Below are 22,191 nucleotides of genomic sequence, written 5' to 3'. Positions count from 1 at the left end.
TCAGAATAGTTCTGTGGAGAACCCACATCAATAGTCTATAAATATTTTAAGTGAAAACAGTTTAATTTTTCAATTATTGCAAACACAAAGCTTTTTGCTTGTGGAGAAATGTTAAGAAGAAGCAAGAGAATCATCCACAATTCCATTATCTTGTGCTGTCCAAAATGGAACTCACTAGCTACATGTGGCTACTTAATTGGAATTAGACAAAGAGTTCATTTCCTCAGTCGTACTGCTACATTTTAAGAACTTTATAGCCCCATGTGGCTAGTGACTATTGTTTTGAACAGGGGAGATTGTAGAATATATACATTGTCACAGGAAGTTCTACTGGATAGCACTGAGGGAGATACTGTTACTTTTTTGTGTATACCCTTCTAGACCTTTGGGTGTGTGTATTCATACATTTATATAATGGGATCATACAGTTACCCACTTCTTTCACTTAATAGATGGGGAGAACTTTATGGGAAATTTCAAGCATGTACAGGTAGAGAAAATCAATAGCTATAAGCTCATGGCTTATATTTGTTCTCCTACCCATTTTTCCCCTTTCCTGGACTTTTTGGAACCAGATCCTAGACCTTTCACCAGCAAATCATTCCGTATGTACATCTAAAAGTTGAGGACTTTAAAAAATCGTAACACTTCTTAAACTGTAAAACTACATAATCAATATTCAAATTGGTTTCTCAAATACGATTTTTAAAATAGATCGTGCAAATCAGAATTCACATAAGTTCCATACGTTGCAGTTGGTGAATATGTTTCTTAGTCTCTGTAGGTTTTTTTTTCCATTTGTTACCATTACTATTTTTTTTTTGGAATTGGGGTCTCGCACTGTCATCCAGGCTGGAGTCCTGTGGCGATCGTAGCTCACTGCAGCCTTGGACCCCTGAGCTCAAGTGATCCTCCCACCTCAGTCTCCCACATAGCTTGGAGTACGGGTATGAGCCACCTCACCCATTTGTTAGTTTTTTAAATTTCCACCTGCAGTTTGTTGAAAACATCACTTTTAATGACTGCATTATTTTAGCTTTAACCACTTTATTGATGACCATTTGATTCTGATTTTTTGCCATCATGAACCTAGCTTTGCTTTATTTTTATGTTTGTTTTTTGAGACAGGGTCTCGCTCTCTTTCGCCAGGCTAGAGTACAGAGGCACAATCTCGGCTCACTGCATCCTCTGCCTCCTAGGTTCAAGCGATTCTCTTGCCTCAGCCTCTCGAGTAGCTGGAATTGCAGGTGTCCGCCACCACACTGCCTACTTTTTTTTTTTTTTTGAGACAGGGTTTTGCTCTTGTCGCCCAGGCTGGAGTGCAGTGTTATGATCTCGGCTCACTGCATCCTCTGCCTCCTAGGTTCAAGCGATTCTCTTGCCTCAGCCTCTCGAGTAGCTGGAATTGCAGGTGTCCGCCACCACACTGCCTACTTTTTTTTTTTTTTTGAGACAGAGTTTTGCTCTTGTCGCCCAGGCTGGAGTGCAGTGTTATGATCTCGGCTCACTGCAACCTCCACCTCCCAGGTTCAAGCGATTCTTCTGCCTCAGCCTCCTGAGTAGCTGGGATTACAGGCGCCCGCCACCATGTCTGGCTAATTTTTTGTATTTTTAGTAGAGACGGGGTTTCGCCATGTTGGGCAGGCTGGTCTCGAACTCCTGGCCTAAGGTGATCTGCCCTCCTCGGCCTCCCAAAGTGCTAGGATTACAGGCGTGAGCCACCATTCCCGGCCTAAGCCACCATGCTTGGCCTTGCTTTATTCTTATGGTTAAATATTTTGAACATTCTTAAATTATTAGGAAGATTTTCTAGAAATAAAAATGCTGTTTCAATGGTTGAGTATATTTTTGAGACTCATCCAATGTGGTAGGCACCGTGTTAGGTACTGGGTATATTGTGGTTAATAAAAAACAAATGTATATTCTGTTCTCTTGGAGTCACGTGTTCTTGCAATGAAGAAAGATGAGACTAGGGTAGTACATATATTTAGGTGGCCCTCACAGAATTATTGAGGATGGCACTTAGCCCAGACACTGGATAGGAGGTATTTAGAGATCATTTGTGTAGGTAGTGACATGTAAGCCAAGGTCTGAAGCAGAGAGGTTGGATAATCCATGCAACCTTACAATGTGGAAATAACAGGAAAAACCGTTTACCTAATCTCTGGTCAGAAATCAGAGAACTTGGCCAAAGAACTGAAGGGTTACTGTACTTACTCAAGTTCTTTGTCTATTTAGACAGCATGCACAGCACTTGCACGTGTTTACTTAAAAACTACTGGTATAGCCTCAATTCTTAGAAGACTGAAGTTAGTACGTTTTTATCTAGTTAGCAGTGTGCAACTGCCTAGGGTCAAAATTGCTACTGGCTAGCTGTGTGACTTTGGGCACGTGACCTCGGCGTGCAAAACTCCCTGGTACCCTCAAGGAGGCTCTTGATAAAGTGTTAAAAGTCTGTTTATAAAACAAAAGTGGATGAATGTCGCCCTCCAGGGCTTTGCGGTGCTGGGGCTCGGGGAGCAGCCTCGCAGGTTCGTGCGGGCGGCGGGGGCCCCCTGCTGGCCACATCCTCCAGCCTCCCTCCGCTCGGCCTCCGGCGCGACGTGCGGCCCGGGCCATTTCCTCCCAGGGCGGGGGAAAAGGGAGGAGCTGCCGGTTTAAATTGCCTAGCTGCAGCTCGTGTGCAGGGAGAGGCCGAGACGGCTTAAAGCCTCCAAGAAATTGAGGGAAAAAAGGTGCAGAGATTAAAGTTTTACCTCTTGGTGCCTCCAGCTTCGCTTTTGGCTAACCTAAGTTCCTCTGTTCGGGCGCCTCCATTCCCTTCAACACTCAGCTTGGATATCCTCTGGGGCTCGCCGCGTAGGGCGCCATTTCTCAGCCGGGACAGCGGGCCAGCCCTCAGCACGCTGGAGTCCGGAATCCCCCCCTCCCAACGCCGGGCGCCGGATCCCACCCTAACCCCTCCTCTAATACCCTTGGAACCTAGGACCCAGCGGTTTCGGCACGCCCGGCCCCGCCCCTCCGCGCACCGGCGCCCGCGATTGGCTCCAGGCGGCGCGGCCCCGCCCCTTTCATGGCCGCCGCCTGGCGCCGGGGCTAAGTGGCCGCCGGCGTCCGGGTACCCGAGGGCTCTCCCGCGTTGCTGGCACCGCTGGCGCCGCGGTCTCGTAGCGCATGGGCCTCCTCCGAGGCGGGCTCCCATGCGCTCGGGCCATGGCGCGCCTGGGCGCTGTGCGCTCCCACTACTGCGCCCTGCTGCTGGCCGCGGCGCTGGCCGTCTGCGCCTTCTACTACCTCGGCTCAGGCCGGGAGACCTTCTCCAGCGCCACCAAGAGGCTGAAGGAGGCCCGCGCCGGGGCTCCCGCCGCGCCCTCGCCGCCCGCGCTGGAGCTAGCGCGGGGCTCCGTGGCGCCAGCCCCCGGCGCGAAGGCCAAGAGCTTGGAGGGCGGCGGTGCCGGGCCGGTGGACTACCACCTGCTGATGATGTTCACCAAGGCGGAGCACAATGCCGCGCTGCAGGCCAAGGCCCGCGTCGCGCTGCGCTCACTGCTGCGCCTCGCCAAGTTCGAGGCGCACGAGGTGCTTAACCTTCACTTCGTGAGCGAGGAGGCCAGCCGCGAGGTGGCCAAGGGCCTGCTGCGGGAGCTCCTGCCGCCCGCCGCTGGCTTCAAGTGCAAGGTGAGCGGGCCGCGGCTGGGGGCTCCCGGTGGGTGGCCCACCCCATCCTAGGCGAGGTCAGTTTGCGCTCCCGGAGGGGATCCGGGGAACTAGCGGGTAGGATCTTCCCTGAGCTGCCCGCTTGCAATGTAGTGTTCACAACCTGCGGGAGGGCTCGTTCGGGGGCGTGTCCGGGAGCCAGACGCCCTCAGCTGGTGCTGAGGAGTGGAGCTGCGTTTTTAATGACCGCCTCGTTTTCCTCTCCCCCAGTTAAGCGCAGCCCCCAGGAGAGTCCGCGCGCCCCCATTTTGCTAACGTTGCAGGGTTCAGCACTGCCTTCAGAGTCTGCACCTCTGTTTATGTTCCTCAGTTTTTGACTTCTGAGGATGGGACTGGTCACCAGTAGTCATCCTGAGCAACTGGAGAGGGCCTTGGTGAGGCCTCTGGAAGTGTTGAAGTTGCAGTGACACTTCTCATTGCTCTTAAGGTATTTCAGTAGGATCTGGTCAAACTCATTGTGAACCATCTTATCTCCTCTCTGTGTCCCTTTTTCCCCTTCCTCCAAGGGTCATGAACCCATTTAGAGAAGCCTGGAGTTCCTCCGAATGAGGAAGAGAAAGCTCAAGAGGAACAGATATGATCTGGGGAGAGCACAGCTGGCCGCCTTGTCCCAGGCTGGACCAGTCTGCCTCCATGACAGCTTCCATCTCTGTTTATCATCTGTCTTCACTGCCTGGCTCTCCTTGTCTGAGATGTGTTTCTGACATAGTGTGAATTGCCTAGGTCAAATTGCTTATTTGATTTTGACCTAATAGTTGTACAGAGGGGATCCGAGGCCAGATTTTAAGGAGTAGTAGGTAATATTAAAGGGTGGAGACTGATGTTGGTTGGGGAAGCATGCTGAGACAGGAGTTGTATTATGTGAGTGACTAGGGGAGCTGTTGCCAGGATCCTACAGGCTTCGGGAGTCTCTGATAGCTCCTTGTTGCCTACGGGGTGAAGTCCCAGTTTATTGGTAGGGCTGTTGTGTTGTGAGCCTGGTCCACTTCTCTGGCTTCACCTCTCCTCCTTTGTCTACATGCACCTCATACCTTAGCTATGTAGGGAGTGGGCCTTATACATGCTGTACTGTCTGCCCACAGTGTCCTCTTGGGCCCTTGGCCATTCTTTACTCAGCTTTCACCTCTCCTGAGAAAGTCCCTAGACCCTGGGACCTCTGAAGGTCCTCGCTGGAGGAGGAGCCTGGCAACCTGTCCCAGGTGATCCTAATGACCCTAATATTTGAGAAACTTTGCACTAGTTCACGGTAGAAAACTGAGGGCCCTTGGCCATAGGGTCAGTCTGGGCAGATCTTGGGATTTGACCAGGTCTCCAAACACCGCCTTGAAGATAGCATTGTCATCTCTTCTGGGCCTACTCTGCACCGTTGCCGGATCTCTGTCCCCTTGTCCCCAGCTCCCGCTGCAGCGCTAGCTGCACAGCCAGTGCTTTCCAGCCTACTTGCCTTTGCTTTTGTCATTCCCACTGTTGGGGTGCTCCTTCTCTCCATCTCCAAGTCTTGCCCATCTTCAGATACCATCCCCTCCTTGGAGCCAAGGAAGCGTCCCTTCTTTCCTTTTCTACTTCCCTGGTGCTGTGACTGTATCATGTCTTATCATCCATCCCTATGTACAATGCCTGGCACTCTTAGTTGGCACCAGAAATATTGGCCCAGGGGTAGATCCAGCCTCAGGGCCGAGCCCCTCCTGTCTTGGAGTAAGTGTTTCATGCTCGGACTACCCCACTTTACTGGGCCCAGTTCTGGCAGCCTCACTCAAGGCCTGGAGGCAGCTGCAAATGACCAGAGGGAACTGATACCTCCTCTGTTGAGGGGTGAGGGTTTAGTGTCTGGGGACTTCTAGCCAGATGTCAGTGATTGGATAAGGGGTTATCAGTCCTGGCATAAAATTGCTCCCGTTACTTCTTTTTTTTTTTTGTGAGATGGAGTTTCGCTCTTGTTGCCTAGGCTGGAGTGCAGTGGCACGATCTCAGCTCACTGCAACCTCTGCCTCCTGGGTTCGAGCGATTCTGCCTCAGCCTCTCGAGTAGCTGGAATTACAGGTGCCCACCACCACGCTGGCTAAATTTTTTGTTTTTTTTTTTTTGAGACAGAGTTTTGCTCTTGTCGCCCAGGCTGGAGTGCAACAGTGTGATCTCGGCTCACTGCAACCTCTGCCTCCAAGGTTCAAGTGATTCTCCTGGCCCAGCCTCCTGAGTAGCTGGGATTACAGGCGCCCGCCACCACGCCCGGCTAATTTTTTGTATTTTTAGTAGAGATGGGGTTTCATCATGTTGGCCAGGCTGGTCTCAAATTCCTGACCTCAGGTGATCCACCCACCTTGGCCTCTCAAAGTGCTGGAATTACAGGCGTGAACCACCGCGCCTGGCCTCCGTTACTTTGTTTTGTTTTGTTTTTGATAAGAATTCTTGCTATGTTGCCCAGGCTGGTCTTGAACTCCTGAGCTCAAGCAATTCTCTTGCCTTAGCCTCCTGCATAGCTGGGATTACAGGCACACACCACTGCACCTGGCATTCCCATGATTTTTGAGTTCATATTTTGTAAATTTTTCTGTTTGTGATGAAAAGTGCTCTTTTTTTCCTTTAAATGTGCGATTCTAAAAGGTTTGCTTCATTTTACTTGTGATTTAATTCTTCCTCAGGTTTGGAATATTCCTGAAAAGAACATATGTCACATGCCTTTCCTCTGTCTGGAGTTCTCCCTGCCTCCATCCTTGGTACTCAGCTTTCAGGTCTCGGCTTTGGTGTTCTTTCCTTGGTAAACCTTTCCTGAGCCCCCATTACACACTTTCAAACTCCAAGCACTGTTCCTTAGTAACATTTATCACAGTTGTATTTATATAATCGTTGGAGTAATTATTTGTCTTCCTTGCTAGACTCTAAACTCCTTAAGGGCACTGACATTGACGTGTCTTAAATGCTGCCTCCCTAGCACCTGACAGATGAGGGAATTTTATACTGGAATTGTTTTTTCAGTATTGACTCGGAAGAAGGAAACTAGAATTTCTCACTCTGGCTGTGCCAGAGCTGGAAGGGATTTGGAGTATATAGCATGACAGGTGAGGAAACTCGCCCAAGGCTTTCTGGAGAAGTTACTCAGTTGTGGCTGGACCTGCATCCTAGGTCAGTGCTGTTCCCTTTGTGCTGTATTTCCCCTTTAAGGAGCACTTCTGTCTTGTAAAGTCCAGGGGGCAGTTTATTCCCAGGGAGAATTGATTTGAGTGGTGTTAGAACTGTCTGAAGATAGCCTGGGGGCTCCTCTTCCCTTCAGTTGGCTCTGGGACCTCAGCATGGCTGCAAGATGCAGAGCAGGGCCACAGTGAACTGGCACGGGGCTGGTGCCCACACACCGAGGTCTCAGGCCATTTTCAAGTGGCATAGAAACACCTTGTAGCTGAAATGGTTGCAGAAATAGATCACAGAACATTATTAGTGACCTTAGATTTTATTTTGGCTAATTGGATATTAGCTAAAAAGGATTCATGTATCTTGTTTTAAATATGTTTGAAGGTTTTAATTAATCTGTTAGTTTATTATCTGTGAACAGGGAAGCATATTATTTGTTAATCAGTAAACTTCAGAGCTTGCTATGTTCCAGGTACCAGTATAGGAGGAGCTGCTTCTAGCCTATACAGTAAGTCCATTTTCTAAATGCATCAGAATCACCTGGGGACACTTGAAAATACAGAATCCTGGGCCCCACCCCAGCCTGTGGGCTCAGAATCTCCTGGGTGGGGCCTGGAAGTCTGTATTTGGATGGAGTTACAGAGGCAGGCTTGGGCGTCACTGCTGTAAGAAATCCAGGAGTGCTCTCCTGCTGGTCTCTAAGACCCAGTTCAGGCATCCTGTCCTCTGGGTAACCTTCCGTGGGGAGCATGATGCCTGGCTCACAGTGGGCGTTCAGGAACTGTTTGACTGTGACTCTTCCATCCAGGCTATTTTGGCTGTGCTGATCTGGGAAAGGCTGCCACATTCACCTTGCTAAAATGCTGCCTTTTTTTTGTCTTTTTCTTTTATTTTTTTTTTGTGATAGAGTCTTGCTCTGTCACCAGGCTGGGGTGCTGTGGTGCGGTCTCGGCTCACTGCAACCTCTGCCTCCCGGGTTCAAGCGATTCTCCTGTCTCAGCTTCCGGAGTAGCTGGACTACAGGCACCCACCGCCACACCCAGCTAGTTTTTGTATTTTTTAGTAGCGATGGGGTTTCACCATGTGGGCCAGGATGGTCTCGATCTCTTGACCTCGTGATCCACCTGCCTCAGCCTCCCAAAGTGCTGGGATTACAGGCGTGAGCCACCGCACCCGGCCAGAATGCTGCCTTTATTGTATCGCTTCCATTCAGAACCTCCAGTGGCTTCTGGCTACCTGTCCTCCCAGGTCATTTCAATGTCCTAGACCCACAGCAGTGGCTGAGCTTCCTGAATTCTTCTCATGGCGCTTTGCTTGCTCTGCTTCTGAGCATCTGTTGTCTTTCTGTCAAGTGCAGTCTCACACTTGTAAAACTTAGATCAAGACTTATCCCTTCCATGTGCCTTTCCTGCCAGATCAGGTTTGACAGAATATACCATGAAACCCCCAAATAATGGTGGCTTAAACAAGGTTGAATTTATGTCTCGTTTCAATGCAGTCCAGAGGTAGGCATTTCTGGGCTGGCATGGGGGCTTCGTGAAGCCACCACGGTCCTCGGCTCCTTCCAGCTCTGTGTTTCACCATCCCTGAGGGTGGCGCTGTCTTCGTGGTCCAGGATGGCTGCCGGGGCTGGGGCCATCACATCTGTGTTGCTGGGTCGCATTTACTCCAGTTTAGCCCAGTGCTGCTGTGTGTATTGTTTCGGGTCCAGTCTCATCACATGGTTCTACTCTACTGACTTCTGGGAAAATGATCACAGTGAACAGGCCTCAAGGCGCCTCTCATGTCTCCTCTCCTTCCCCATGCTGGCCAGCTCTCTGCAGAGGCGGTGGGGCCCACCAGCCACTGCTTGTATGGCCTCCATGGAGCACAGCAATATTGCTTCTTTGTGGTATTTGCCTTGTGCTATCAGCTCAAATCTTAACTGTTCAGAAAGACCTTCCCCGAATCTCTTGTCTAACGCAAGCCTCATGCCAGCCTTCATCTTTCCCATCACCTTGTGCATTTTTTTCTTTTTTTTTTTTTTGAGATGGAGTCTCGTTCTGTCACCCAGGCTGGAGTGCAAGGGTGCGATCTTGGCTCACTGCAGCCTCTGCCTCCTTTCAAGCGATTCTCCTGCCTCAGCCTCCCAAGTAGCTGGGATTACAGGTGCCTGCCACTACGCCCACATAATTTTTGTATTTTTAGCAGAGATGGCGTTTCACTATGTTGGCCAGGCTGGTCATGAACTCCTGACCTCAGGTGATCCACCTGCCTTGGCCTCCCAAAGTGCTGGCATTACAAATGTGAGCCACCGTGCCTGGCCTTTTCTTTTACTCTTTTTTTTTTTTTGAGATAGGGTTTCTGTCTGCCGCGCAGGCTAGAGTAGAGCACAGTGGTGTGATCACAGCTCACTGTAGCTTCAAACTCCTGGGCTTAGGGGATCCTCCTGCCTTAGCCTCCTCAGTAGCTAGAACTACAGGCATGTGCCTCCATGCACAGCTAATTTTTTTTAACTGTTTTGTAGAGATGGGATCTCACCTTCTTTCCCAGGCTGGTCTCAAACTAGTGATCCTCCTGCCCTAGCTTCCCAAAATGTTGGACTGCAGTTGTGAGCCAACACGCCCGGCTGTGCATGTCTTTTATAGCATGTATTCATTTTTTCATGTATTCATTCATAGGGTGTTGTTAAGTGCATATCCTGTGCCAGACACTGTTCTAGGTACTTGTGAACAGCAGGGAACAGAACAAGTTTCTGCCTTCATGGAGCTTAAATTCTGGGGTTGCAGGGAATGTATAGGAGATGGATTTTTAACAAATAAATATGGAGTGAGTCAGATTGTGATCAATTCTACAGAGAGAAATAAAGCAGGCTGCAGAGATAGCAAGTGTGTGGTTGTCAGTGTGGGGAGTTGTTCGCCGTGGTGCACGGGTGGCCAGGGATGGCTCCACGGATAAGGTGCCATTTGTGCAGAGCCTGAAGGAAGTGAGGGAGCCACAGCCCTCTGGGCGGGACTCCGTCCGAGGCACCTGCAAGTGTGTGGGCCTCAGGTTGGAGTGTGCTCTGCATGTTTGAGCAAGTAACTATCCTGTTAACTTGTTTGTAGTCTCTCTGTCTCCCTCCTGGAAGGTAATCTCCAGAAGGCAGAGACCTTACCTACCTTCATCTATTGAGGTTTACGGGAACCCCATAGATGCCATCCTTATTTCTTGGCCTGAGTTGGAAATGATAGAGCGGGCAAGCAGTCTCTTAACCTGGGACACAAGAACTGGACAGACTTCTGGAGGCACAGACAGCTCTGGCAGCTGCTTGCCTCCCTGCAGGGATGGGCAGGTTCTGCATACATAGATCCTCCTGCCTTAAGGAGGAGTTAGTGTGCAAGGAGGAGAGGAGGATGGGGCAGGGAGCAACAGGCCGGAGTGTTTGTCCAGGAGAGCATCCTCCATAGAGAAGCACAGAACAATGAAGAAGGGGTGCTTCCTCTTTTTCCCGTCGACACTATAGTCTCAGCACTGTTTCTGGCACATTCTCTGTTCTCAATAAATATTTATAGTTGACTAATAACTATAGTGATTAAACCCAGGATATCCTAGAAGAGTTCTCAGTGATCTGCCCCTTTTCCCTCAAACCTCAGCCTCTTTCAGAGCCTGAGACTGGGTTGCTCCATTTCCTGGTGACAAATAGGAGGAAGAAGGAAACTGCACATCCCCCATGATCCTTGTCTGTTTTCTCTCACCATAACAATACCCGAGACTGGGTAATTTAGAAAGGAAAGATATTTATTTAGCTTGAGGTTTTGGAGGCCGGGAAGTCCAAGAGGATGGTGACAGCTTCTGGGGAGGGAAGCAGAGGCATGCAGAAGGGGCACAGCGTGAGGGGCGCCTGGCTTTATAACAGCCACTCTTGGTAACTCATCCAGTGCCGTGAGTGAGAGTGAGAACTCGCTCCCTCCCAAGAGATATAACCCAGGCCTGGGAGACAGGCATGAATCCCTCTTAATGACTTCATCAGCTCATAAAAGCCCCACCTCCCAGCAACGTCACCGGGGCTCACATTTCCAACACATGAATTCCAGGGGACACCCTTTAAACCTTCGCATCCACTTTACAGGTTGGGTTACCTTACAGGTTGGGTTCCAGGAGGAGCATGTGCCAAGGACTAGGAATACTGGACAAATGTTAAAATGCAGTAGGGGATTCTCAGAGTTTCTTTGAGTGCAAGAGCAAACCTGTGAGTGACTTGGAAAAGTTGAATACCTTAGCTCATTGGTGGGGCTTGAGAGAAGCCTGGATGTGAAGACCTTGACCTTGATGCTGGCTGTCTCATTGATGAAGCTAATGACAAACAGGTGACCCTGGAAATGCAATGGATTTTCCAGCTTGTCACAGCAGCAGGCACCTTGCACCTGAATGAAACTTTTGATGATGGTCTGGAAAAGAGGTGATCAAAGAAACATGTCCTGAAGGGAGAGGCTCTTTGAAAAGATAGGCCGACATTTTATATGGCAGTGTTTAGAGAACAGTGCATATTTTATCAAATGCATTTAACAGTGGCATTCTTTTAAATTGTAATATACTCATGAAAACAGCTGTAGTAGTTTGTGTACCAATGTATGTTTCTTATGGAAAACTTTATGATCACAGATCTAAGGGGAATAACTTTGTATAGTATTGTATCAAATACAATAAACTCTGGAGAAGCCCGCAAGTATGTGTTGAAATGATAAGGCAGAGCCTTGGGGTCATGATATAGATGAAATACACTGATCGACGGGGATTTATAAAATCTGTGGGGGCCTCAATGCACGGATTAACTGCTCCAGCTTTGGGTATCAGTCATTCCTCATGACTTCCTGACTGTTCCTTGTTCCTGTAGGCCATATTTTAAAAAGATAGATAATTACTTTTTTTTTGCAACAAAAATTGAAATATAATTCATGTACCATAAAGCTCACTCATTTAATGTATACAATCCAGTGGTTTTTAGTGTATTCCCAAGGTTGTACAGCTATGACCACTGATTCTAGAACACTTGTCACCTCAGAAACCCTGTATCCATTAGCATCACCCTCCGTCCTCCTGTCTCCCCTGCCCCTAGAGACTACAAATCAGCTTGCTCTCTGTATAAATGTGTCTCTTCTGAGTATTCACTACAAGTGGGCTCAGCTAATATGTGGTCTTTTGTGTCTGGCTTCTTTTAGCCTAGTGTTTTTAGGGTTCATGTTGTAGCATGCATTAATGCTTCACCCTTTTTTATGGTTGGATACTATTCCATCGTATGGATAAACCACATCATCCATTCATCAGTTGATGGACATTTGGGTTGTTTCCGCTTTGAGGCTATTATGAATAATGCTGCTGTGAACATTTACTTAGAAGTTTTTGTGTGGACATATGTTGTCACATCACTGGGGTATAACCTAGCAGTGGAATGGTTAACTCTGTTTAACCTTTTGAGGAACTGCCAAACTCAGTAGCTATACCATTTTACATTCCCACCAGCAGTGTATGGAGGTCCTGATTTCTCCACATCCTCACCAGCACTTGTAATCATCCATCTTTTCAATTACAGCTATTCTAGTGGGTGTGAAGTGATATCTCATTTTAGTTTTGGTCTGCATTTCCCTAATGACAAATAATGAGACGATTACATGTTGCTAAGGACAACTACATACATGTATTTGGTATTTTTTAATATATTTACCGAAATGCATTTTCTTAAAAAAACCCCAAAAAACAGTTACCTTGACTTTCCCCTCCTTACCCTGTAAGGTGTTACAACATCGCTAGAAATGGGCATATTCCGAGGACATGGTTTGGACATTTCTGACGTGTACACTGATGTGCCTGAAGTCAGCAAGGGGATGTTTACCAGTATGAAGTCTTGATGAGGAGAATAATAGTAGCAACATTTGTTCCCCTCCCCTCCCCTTTTTCTTTTCTTTTCTTTAATTTCCTTTTTCTTTTCTTTTTAAGATGGAGTCTTGCTGTGTCCCCCAGGCCAGAGTGCAGTGGTGTGTTCTCAGCTTACTGCAACCTCCATGTCCCATGTCCCGGGTTCAAGCGATTCTCCTGCCTCAGCTCCCGAGTAGCTGGGATTACACAGGCGTGCGCCACCGTGCCCGGCTAATTCTTGTATTTTTAGTAGAGACAGGGTTTCACCATGTTGGCCAGGCTGGGCTCGAACTCCTGACCTCAGGTGATCCGCCCGCCTCCGCCTCCCAAAATGCTGGGATTACAGGCGTGAGCCACCGCGCCCGGCCTGTTCAGGCCTTTAGAATGTATAAAAGTGCAGACGCCTCACTTGAGCGTGGCTGAGGCTGGGGAAAGAGGTGTGGCATCCCTGAGGCTGAGAGCAGGTGGCTTACGGAGCTCCCAGAGCAGCAGGAGGCACTTCAGGACCCCGCTAGCAGCTCTGCCAAGGGGCTGTGGGTGTGGGGATGAGGGCAGGGCTGTAGCCCACCTGACAATCTGTCATCCGCCTGCCGATGACACCCCCAATAAATCCATTCAATATGAACCAAAACTGCGCTTTCTGGGAGTGCAGCTTCCCTCTCATCTGCTTCAGGGAGCGCTGCAGGTTCGCCAAACATCGGAACAGGAAGGAAGCTCTGGGCGTAGTGTCCCCCGTCCAGCTGATACCCTGGGCCAGAAAGGGGCAGTGACTAAGTGCCACAGCGAGCTGCCTTTAGAAGCAGCCAGGCACCTCCTCTGCTGTTTGAGGGAGGTGATAGCAGCAGCCCCGTCTTTTTCGGAGGGGTCGGTTGAGAGGTAGCCCACCCTAATACCCACAGCGAAGGTGGCAGGGCCTGTCGTCTTCACCTATCCTAGGGGGCTTCGCCTCCTTGTCTCCTCCTGGATGTGCCTCGCCCGGGACGGGAGGATGCAGTCCGACCTCCGGGAGGCAGAATCCGCGCGGTGTCCGGGGCTGGCTTTCCAGGTGCCCCGTGCCCGAGGCTGCCCAGGGGGGTCAGTGTTGCGGGAGCCGGATGGGGGCTCCGGTGCAGGCACAGGTTTTGTCCTGTGCTCCGGGATGTGCGCTGCGGGCTCCGCGGCTGCGGTCAGCACGGGGCCCCCCGTCTGGAGAGGAGGGGCCGCGGGCGTCGGGCGTTGGGCGGGGCTGGCCCCTCCTCCGCGGCGCGGTCCCTCCCCCGCCCGGGGCCGACACACGGGCCGAGTGCAGTGCCCCGCGCGGCCGCCTGGGGGCGCCGCTGCACCGCGTCTGCGCGCCCGACCCCCGGCCGGCGAGGTGCGCGCGGCTGCAGCCCCCAAGCCTGAGGCTCCCGCGGGGTGTTTTTTTTCCTCCTCTAGCCCCGCCCGCCCTTGTGGTTTCGAAAGCACTGAACTGAAAGGCAGTCGGCGGGGCTGCGGCGGGCGGTCATTTCCTTCCTGGGCCGCCGGTAAACCGGCTTTGATGAGCCCTTTGGACAAGGCGGGGCCGAGCCGCTGGGACGGGCGATGCGGCAGCACGGTCGGAGGGAGGCTGCGTGGGAGGCCCGTCGCTCCTGCCTGGTCCTCCCCGGGGCCCCAGCCACATCCTTTCCAGTCCGCCCGGTCCCCGTCACACCCGGCGGGCCTCCGCAGCCAGTGTGGGAAACGTGTCTGTTGGAGCCGCGTGGTGGGGGTGGCCCCTCGGTATCCTGGCGCCGGTGGGGAATTTGGCAAAAGACCCGAGGCCGCCAGAGGCCGGCTCCGGGGGCCGCCCTGGTGCTGGGTCTGTCCCTGGCGCTGGCCTGGAGCCCGGCGTCCTTAATTGCGGGAGGGACTCGGATGCCACCTTACAGGCCTGTCGCACGCGACTGTCCTCGCGGTGAGATGAGGGCTTCCCAGGCCTGTACCTGGGGCGGGAGGCCTCTCCCTGGGAGGAGGAGCCCGGCCGCCTGCTTGCTGGAAGGGCCGCCTGGCAGGGCCCGAAGGCCTCCCTGCTGCCCTTCCTCACAGCCTTCCCATCCAGGGCTCTTATCTTTCGCCCTGGGACCACTCACACCGTCGTGTGGGTTGTGGAAGACAAGTCAAGATGACCAGGGCCTTACCCGCAAGCCACAGGGACCTTGACTTCACGGCTCTGACTCTGAGAGGCCACTCTAACTACTTGCCTGTTCTGAGCAGTGGAGCTAGGCCTCATCAGCTGACAGAAAGCCTGCTGTTAAGTTAATGTGTTTTAAATTAAGGCCATTGGTTTTATTTATTAGGGCGATGACTGTTAAGCAGCCCCGATTAAGCCATCCTCTGCTGGTGGGACTAGTCTCCCAGAGGCTGGCCCCTGCGGCCCTGCTCAGGCAGGCCTGGGGATAGCACAGCTGTGCTGCCGGGATAACAGATGAAATGAGACAGCTCACAGCCTGGCACATGGCAGGTGCTTGGTCAACGGTGGCTGCTAATAATGGTACCGGAATAGGTGTGTTGGGAACTGACACCCTGCTGTTGTCACTCTAGAAAGCGCATACCTGTTTATTCACCATGCTGATACCGTTGATTCAGTTGGAGGGCAGTGCAGCTAGCTTGCAAAACAGCTTTCTGGCCAGGTTTATTTCCGGTGTCCCCGTGTTCTTGCAAGTCTTCAATTCTCCAAACTACGGTGTTTTTTCCTTCTCTGACACTCCTCCCTCCCCTACCTCTTGGCAATATATTGTTTGCCTCTCTCTGAAAGCACAGGATGCCTTAGCCTTATTTGATGTTCAGGGGCATCCACACTTTCTCTTTCCTGCTGGAAGGAAGAGGCTCATCTTCATCACGTCCCTTCCCCAGGGGCCCTAGCCCTACCTGGCCCTGGACAGAGGCTCTGCAGTGCTAGCCGGCCTGTGCTCTGGAGTGGGAGCTGCTGCTTGTCAGGATGATGAAGCCTTTGTAGTCTTGTGTAGATGACAGAGTCGCCTCTATGAACGTTCCTTAGTTTCTCGAAGGTTCCAATTCAAATTTGTTTATAGTAAATGGTGCACAATTATACAATTTCTGGTCAAATTTTGATGTTTTGTTTCCCTCTTACTGGTTTTTGATTTGTTTTCTTGGTCTGATTGCACACAGTAACTGTTTATAGTCATTTTTGGGCATCAGCCAAGTGTAAGCTGTAAATGACTTAAAAAGGCCGGGCCTCTGGGGAGACGCTCATGGATCCACATAGCCCCACATACTCCCAGAGCCTGCTCCTATGCCTGGCTGCCACACTATCCCCCTGAGTGGGGTCTCTAGCCTCACCCTCTGTGGCTGTTGCCTCACTGAAGGCTGTGAGGTGGCCCTGCTTTTGCCAGAGCATCACAGCAGCCCAGGATGTGACCTCTGTGTGACCGCTCAGGTGGCCAGGCTCCCTGAGTCCTGGTCAGCGTGGGATTCTGCAGGGGCTTCATAGGCTCAGCAGGTGGATTTGTCAGTCTGAAAAACCTGCACAAGATCAGGCATAGTGCAGGCTTTGCTTAGGGCACCCTTGGCCACCTGCTGTCTAGGGGGTAGGAAGACACAGGGTCGAGGATTGTGGGTGTGCCGGGGCTGCTTTGTGAGGATGGAGAGGCTGGCTGGGGGGCAGGGAGCTTGGAGGATATACACCCATGATACGTGGGTAGCATGTGACCTGCCCACCTTAGAGATGAGGGAACTCAGGCAGCTGGAGCCACAGACTGGCTCTGTCTTCTGTCCCTGGCAGGAGAGTCATGACCAGAAGATGGGGCAGAGGGGGGCAGCTGGGGTAGGGCGGCCTGGCTGGGTGAGTGTGTGGCTCTCTGGGTTGGCAGAGAGTCAGCAGTAGCCAGGACTCTGGAGCGGGAGCCACAGGGAGAGCTACGGGGCCCGTGCCGGCCCAGCCAGGATGTACCTGGCTGCCATGGTGATCCACCTGGCTGGACTGCCTGGGGTTGTGGTGTACCCCGGCCACTTCCCATCTCTGGGACTTTGCTCAGGGGCTTCTTCCCCGGATCACCCATTCCTCCCATCTTCATCTGATTAACTCGCCTTTCATGATGAAGCTCGGACGGTGCCAGTTATGTGGGGACCTACCTCTCACCTCCACCCTGGTGAGCCCCTTTCCCCTGGCTCCTGCCGAGCTGACACTGGCCCTTCTGCCAGCTGCTGGGGGATGAGCACTGTGTCTTATTTCATTCTGTGTCTCCAGGATGTAGTGGCGCAGGGCCTGGCATGGGTAAGACTGCATAGGCTCGCACACTGGAGGAGCTGGATGCCAACACGGTGGGCAGTGGGGTGTGAGTGCAGCCATGGAAGGCCGGGGTGGGATGGCTGGGCACCGATGCCCGTCAGATGTCCTGTGCACATGCTGCTCAGACTTGCGGGACATGGCGTCCTTGGCCGCTTACAGAGGCCTCAAGCTTGTAAAGAAAGCTTCCCGGTCCCTCTTGTCACGGGTTCTCCTGCAGAAAGTCATCCAGCCTGACACTAGCCATGAAGTGTCAGCGGTGTTTTGGGTTTTGGAACTGTCCCCCTTGCATTACCATGAAGAAATGCTGATGCTGGCCCTTGGGAGGTACAAGGGGCTTCACTTGTCTCCCTTACCTGAGAGCCCTGGGAAGGTTGCTTGGTCTGCCTAGAGCCCCGGCTGGCAGGCAGTGCCCTGGGCAAGCTCTTCAGCCTGCACCTGCCCCTGGGCGCTCACTTCAGCTGGAGTGTGGTGGACAGAGTCCTGCCCAGATGTTATTGATCCTGAGTTCTGGGTCTTCCTCTGACCCTGGCTTCTGTTAGCAAGGCCTTCTGATGTCTTTGCCTCAGTTTCTCATCATAAGAGGAGTGGGGACGCTCCGGCTCTGAGTAACAGTCTGTTCTCTTCCAGGCGTGTATAAACAGTGCTGGGGGCTTACAGAGCTCATGCCCTTTCCAGACCCCATCCTGAATGTGCGGGTGAGAAGTTGCGGGGTGTGAGGAGGCTGCTCTTCCCCTCTTTCTGGGATAATCCCTGGAATGACCCTAGGTGAGGCTTCCGTGCTGACTTCCCTTCCGTCCTCTGGGAGGTACTGGTTCGTTTCTCGGGCCCTGCCCTGTGCAGGGCCGCACCTCAGGCCTGCGCGGAGCATGAGGGCGAGGGACTTGGAATGACCAGAGCTGTCTCAGGTTTATCGTCACCGTCAATGAGCCACAGTTGCCACCATCGCAGGAGACCCTGGGTGGCAGGCACCATGCTGGATCCTGCTTTTCCTCCCTCATTTAACCTTGGAGCAGCCAGGCCTGTGAGGGGTAGCTAGTCTCCCCTAGGAAGAGGCTGCACAGATGAGCTTGCTCGGAGCCATGATTGGAGTCCGGCTTGCTGATTCTTCAGCACTCTGCCCGATGCCTGTTGATTTTGGCGGTTTGTTCTTGTCCCTCCAAAGCCAGGAATGCTCTGTGAGAGCTGGGGCCCCACCAGAAGGGTTCCCACGGTGCCCCTGTGCCTGCTGCTGGCTGGGTGGCCTCTTCCCCTGGTCAGCTGGGTGGCACAGAACAGGGGAATCCCAGGGCTGCCCGGGGTGGACCTTCCCTCCCTCCTCCAGGAGCTGCCCATAGAACAGCAGGGAGCCTCTTTCTAGGAGGTGGGATTTACAGGCTGAGATGTTGGAGCCCCACCTCCCTCATTTAGCTGCAGAAGAGGTCTGGGTTGGAGGGAGTCCAGACTCTGGTCCTGGAGTTGAGTCTATTCATGTTATCCATGAGAAAACGGGGGCCCAGAGAGGCCAAGCAACTTGCTCAGGGCCACACAGCTGCTCAGTGGACAAGGGAGACTGGGAGCAGCTCTCCTGTGCCCTCTCTGGTTCCCTGCACTCATGGTCTCCCTGCCTGCCTTCCCTTGTGTTCGGAAGCCAGTTCTACGCTGTGCTTGCTCTGTGCGCCGGTTTGTCTTCTGTTTTGGTTTCTAGCCTGACACAGCTTTTGGATCTCACCCACTTGTGACTCCCTGCAGTCGTCTGTGTTTTGTGGACAATGAAAGGCTTTGCTCCACGTCCACTGATCGGCTGCTCCAGAAGGAAGCTTTGCAGCCTCCTCAGCTGCAGGCCCAGAGTCATGGCTCCCTCCAACCCATTGCCTGGCCCTGCTCAGCCCACTTGGATGGAGCTGAGTCCCCAGCCCGACTGGGTCCTGCTGGGGGCTGAGCTCGTGGGTGCGAGCCGTGTGGGGTAGGGAACCCCGCTGCTGTCTCCCACCTGGCTCTGCACTCCTGCAGCCCCAGTCCTGCCGTGACTGTCACAGGGATCTCCAGGCCTGGTCGGCGGCTCCCTGTTGTGCGAGCATGGTACTCGGAAACCGCCTTTTCTGCTGGTTTAGTCCGACTGAAGCTCCTTGCTGAGGGACTGCATTCCCTCTGCAAACCTATGGCCTTATGGGTCTTTCTGATGCTGCTGTTATCCCCTGCTCTGTCCGCAGTGCTGGTGAATTTCCCAGCCTGGGGCAGTTGGGGACAGGGTCCGAGTCTGACTTCTTTCTCTTTCCTGTGCAGCGGGTGTGGGAATGGGCGTGTGTCTCTTGAATGAGTATGGTGTTGGCTACAGATGGGCCGCTTTAGATCCTGGCTCTACCTCATCTTTCTGGGAGGTGGGGGGTAGTTGTTTACATTCTCTGAACCACCTCCTCTCTGTAGCAGGGGCCCAGTCCTATCACCTGCCCCAAAACATTGGTGTGAGGGCGACGTTAAGTGACTGAATGTGCACAGCGCAGCTGTTTGTGCTTGACGCGTGCTAGGTGGACCCTTAGGCACTGCCCTGGCCCCGTGAAGGCCCTGCAGGTCTGTGTCCCACCCTTGGTGGCTGTGCCCAGCTTTAGCATGCCACCTCATGGTCCTGCTCAGTGGCTCACCTGCTCACCCTGTGTCAGGTCCCAGCCTGGCGCAGGTGGCTGCCCCTGAATCTGGGCCTTGCGAGCCTGTTGCCTGGATGCCCAGGTTCCAGATGCTTCACCTTGGGAAACAAAAGAGCAGTTTTGGCACAGAGATCCCGCAGCCTACAGACTTAATTATGCCCCGTGGACGTGCTGAGCAAGAGTGAGAGGGTGACTGAGCCTGCAGAGGGCTCTGTGTGATGCCATGTGGCCCCCAGTTTCCTCACAGGGGAAAAGGAACAAGCTTCCGGCTCAGGGAATGGCTTCCCAGGAGCAGATGGTACTTTGAAAATCACCTCGTCAGGCTTCGAGCCTGCGTCCTGTGGTTGGGAGGGTGAGGGGCGTGTTGTTTCTGCTGCTGACCCCAGTTTCAGGGCAAATTTAACCTGTGGTCAGTGCAGGGTGGGGCTTTGGTCCCAGGCCCTGGGGCTGAGGCCCTGGAGAACCTGCCAGGCCTGGGCAGTCACTGCTGACGTCTGTGGCCAGAGTCTCCAAGCGCTGAGGGCCCCCTGGGGCCTGATTTATGGGGGTCTTTGGGGGACTTGTTCCAGCCTGGAAATGTGAGAGGGAAATCTCCCCACCCCAGTGGGGGTGCCCCCTGGTGCACAGCTGGGCAGTGGGCACCCCCGTGACTTGTCCGAGAGCACCGTTTCCCTCTGGTGTTACCCTTTAAAACTCACTTGAGGGAAGAGTGATTGGCTACATAGTTGAATTTGCTGAGCAGCGTTTGCAGAGGATGTAAACTGCCAGGTAGGCTGGCCCTGCTTACTGGTCTCTTCTTTGGGCTCACTGAGTGACTGAGTGGCTTTCGCTTTGATCAGAAATGTGAACAGGCCGGGCGCGGTGGCTCACGCCTGTAATCCTAGAACTTTGGGAGGCCGAGGCGGGCGGATCACCTGAGGTCAGGAGTTCGAGACCAGCCTGGCCAACATAGTGAAACCCCGTCTCTACTAAAAATACAAAAATTGGCCAGGCGTGGTGGTGGGCACCTGTAGTCCCAGCTGCTCGAGAGGCTGAGGCAGGAGAATTGCCTGAACCCAGGAGGCGGAGGTTGCAGTGAACCAAAATCACAACACTGCACTCCAGCCTGGGAGACAAAACTCCTTCTCAAAAAAAAAAAAAAAAAAGAAAAAAAAAGAAATGTGAGCAGTTGAAGATTTTAGAACTGATGTGGCTCTCAGAGAGTTGGGAGACATTTTAAGGCAAATGCAAAATGAAAACGTGTCTTTTGCTTAAGGCTGTGTCTTAAGCAGGGGCCTTGGGAAATGAAACGGGATCTTGCCGCTTCGCCTCCTGATTTCTGGAGCTGTTGACTTCTCAGCCTTTTTCTGTGACATGTGCAGCATCTGGACCTGATTTACGGGAGTCTTTGGGGGATTTGTTCCAGCCTGGAAATATGAGAGGGAAATCTCACTGCCCCAGGAGAGGAGTCAGTGCTTAGGGCAGCCTTCCCTGGGCCCCGGGGAGAGGGAGGGTCCAAGAAAAGGGCAGGAGAAAGTGCTTGGAGAAAAGCGGGCAGCTGGGGTGCAGTGCCTGGGCTCCACGGAGAGCCCTTTGTGACTTGCTTCTCCAGGTAGTGGAAAGCTGTAAATCTCATTCAACAAACCGTCTTCATTTTCCCACGTTCCCTTGAGCCCTTGTTTCTTGCAGGCCTAATTTGGATAGAGCAGGGGAATTTTGTTCTCTACTCACGTTACTGAATAGGGGACCCACCTGCGGTGGCGTATGCCATAAACGCCTCCCCGCCTCGCCGCCCCTGCCCTGTCTCCAGCTTATTGTTCATATCACTGTAGCATACGTTATAGTCATATTTCTTTTGTAACCTGAGCTGTGAGTTTCTGTTTTTTTCACACAATAAATAACACCACAGTGAATCTCTCTCTCTCTCTCTCTCTCTCTCTCTGTGTGTGTGTGTGTGTGTGTGTGTGTGTGTGTGTGGTTTTTTTTCTTCTTTTGAATTGTTCCCAGGAACCTTCCTTGATTCTCCACAAGAAACACTTCCCAGTCCTATGTGGTCCTGTTCCCACAAATTAACACATGTGAAGATCAGGTCTATCAGGGCTGCTCCTCAGTGCCCACTCTCTTGCCTCTTCATTATAAAGAATTTTTCCTGCTAATTTATATTACACAGCCCCGCTTTTTGCCTCTCACGATATATTTTTTAGATGTTAAAAAATTTTAATTCTAAAATAAGCCAAAACAGAAAAATGAAAACAAAAAAAGTAACAGATATCTTTGTTTCTACTGTGTAAGTTAAATAGGTGCTAACATTTTTCTCTATTTGCTTAAGATTCTTTTTTTAAGGAAATAAAATATTATAGACGTAGCTAAAGCTCACTCTATTTCTTCTCCATCCTACTCCCTCCAGAGGTATTTACTGTCACAAATAAGAAGTTGGTGTTTTGTGCAATTTGTATGTTTTTAATTTTTACCACATATGTATGCATAAAATATATATGTATTACTGCTTTGTATGTTTTCAGCAGTTATGTAAACAGTCTCATATATCCATTTGACATTTCATTGTGAGTATGAGATTTCATAGCCTTATGATTTTGAGATTTATCTTTGCTGATACATGGAAGTCTT

At 51.9% G+C, this 22,191-nt stretch overlaps 1 protein-coding gene and 1 long non-coding RNA gene across 5 annotated transcripts in view, besides 9 other annotated features; one reads left to right on the top strand and one right to left on the bottom strand.

Moving 5' to 3' along the window:
• Window positions 2,444–2,673: a silencer, noted in NCBI's record as "silent region_15035". NCBI's record gives its function as "represses an Ori minimal core promoter by ATAC-STARR-seq in GM12878 lymphoblastoid cells {active_cell/tissue: GM12878}" and the evidence as "EXISTENCE:reporter gene assay evidence [ECO:0000049][PMID:35858748]".
• Window positions 2,924–3,453: a silencer, noted in NCBI's record as "silent region_15034". NCBI's record gives its function as "represses an Ori minimal core promoter by ATAC-STARR-seq in GM12878 lymphoblastoid cells {active_cell/tissue: GM12878}" and the evidence as "EXISTENCE:reporter gene assay evidence [ECO:0000049][PMID:35858748]".
• Window positions 2,924–3,835: a biological region, named in NCBI's record as "H3K27ac hESC enhancer GRCh37_chr3:194991127-194991918".
• Window positions 3,044–3,835: an enhancer, noted in NCBI's record as "H3K27ac hESC enhancer chr3:194991127-194991918 (GRCh37/hg19 assembly coordinates)". NCBI's record gives its function as "activates a minimal SCP1, AML or CMV promoter by ChIP-STARR-seq in naive H9 embryonic stem cells {active_cell/tissue: H9 hESC(naive)}" and the evidence as "EXISTENCE:reporter gene assay evidence [ECO:0000049][PMID:30033119]".
• The window catches only part of XXYLT1 (xyloside xylosyltransferase 1), a 202,876-nt gene continuing 183,758 nt past the window's right edge, over window positions 3,074–22,191 (top strand). For 3 of the 4 annotated variants that reach the window (XR_924105.4, NM_152531.5, XM_017005749.3), the window contains exon 1: window positions 3,074–3,678. Coding sequence is in view for 2 of the 4 variants with exons in the window: in NM_152531.5 (NP_689744.3) it covers window positions 3,175–3,678 (504 nt within the window). In the remaining 2 variants the exon portion in view is untranslated. Of the gene's footprint in view, window positions 3,679–14,733; window positions 17,729–22,191 lie in introns of those variants that run through there. The other variant, XM_005269286.6, reaches the window with a different exon arrangement.
• Window positions 3,614–3,793: a silencer, noted in NCBI's record as "silent region_15033". NCBI's record gives its function as "represses an Ori minimal core promoter by ATAC-STARR-seq in GM12878 lymphoblastoid cells {active_cell/tissue: GM12878}" and the evidence as "EXISTENCE:reporter gene assay evidence [ECO:0000049][PMID:35858748]".
• LOC124909475 (uncharacterized) lies at window positions 10,579–13,886 on the bottom strand. Its single transcript, XR_007096225.1, has 2 exons — window positions 12,584–13,886; window positions 10,579–11,249 (listed from the first exon to the last, which is right to left on the bottom strand). It is a non-coding gene; the product is annotated as an uncharacterized LOC124909475 (long non-coding RNA).
• Window positions 13,698–14,637: a silencer, noted in NCBI's record as "silent region_15032". NCBI's record gives its function as "represses an Ori minimal core promoter by ATAC-STARR-seq in GM12878 lymphoblastoid cells {active_cell/tissue: GM12878}" and the evidence as "EXISTENCE:reporter gene assay evidence [ECO:0000049][PMID:35858748]".
• Window positions 17,960–18,134: a silencer, noted in NCBI's record as "fragment chr3:194976828-194977002 (GRCh37/hg19 assembly coordinates)". NCBI's record gives its function as "represses an EF-1alpha promoter that drives an FKBP-Casp9 reporter gene in an ReSE screen in K562 erythroleukemia cells {active_cell/tissue: K562}" and the evidence as "EXISTENCE:reporter gene assay evidence [ECO:0000049][PMID:32094911]".
• Window positions 19,892–20,679: an enhancer, noted in NCBI's record as "H3K27ac-H3K4me1 hESC enhancer chr3:194974283-194975070 (GRCh37/hg19 assembly coordinates)". NCBI's record gives its function as "activates a minimal SCP1, AML or CMV promoter by ChIP-STARR-seq in naive H9 embryonic stem cells {active_cell/tissue: H9 hESC(naive)}" and the evidence as "EXISTENCE:reporter gene assay evidence [ECO:0000049][PMID:30033119]".
• Window positions 21,469–21,518: an enhancer, noted in NCBI's record as "active region_21053". NCBI's record gives its function as "activates an Ori minimal core promoter by ATAC-STARR-seq in GM12878 lymphoblastoid cells {active_cell/tissue: GM12878}" and the evidence as "EXISTENCE:reporter gene assay evidence [ECO:0000049][PMID:35858748]".

This window comes from Homo sapiens, chromosome 3 (assembly GCF_000001405.40).
Source record: "Homo sapiens chromosome 3, GRCh38.p14 Primary Assembly".
NCBI lineage: Eukaryota > Metazoa > Chordata > Mammalia > Primates > Hominidae > Homo > Homo sapiens.
This window is presented reverse-complemented; position numbering and strand designations above follow the sequence as displayed.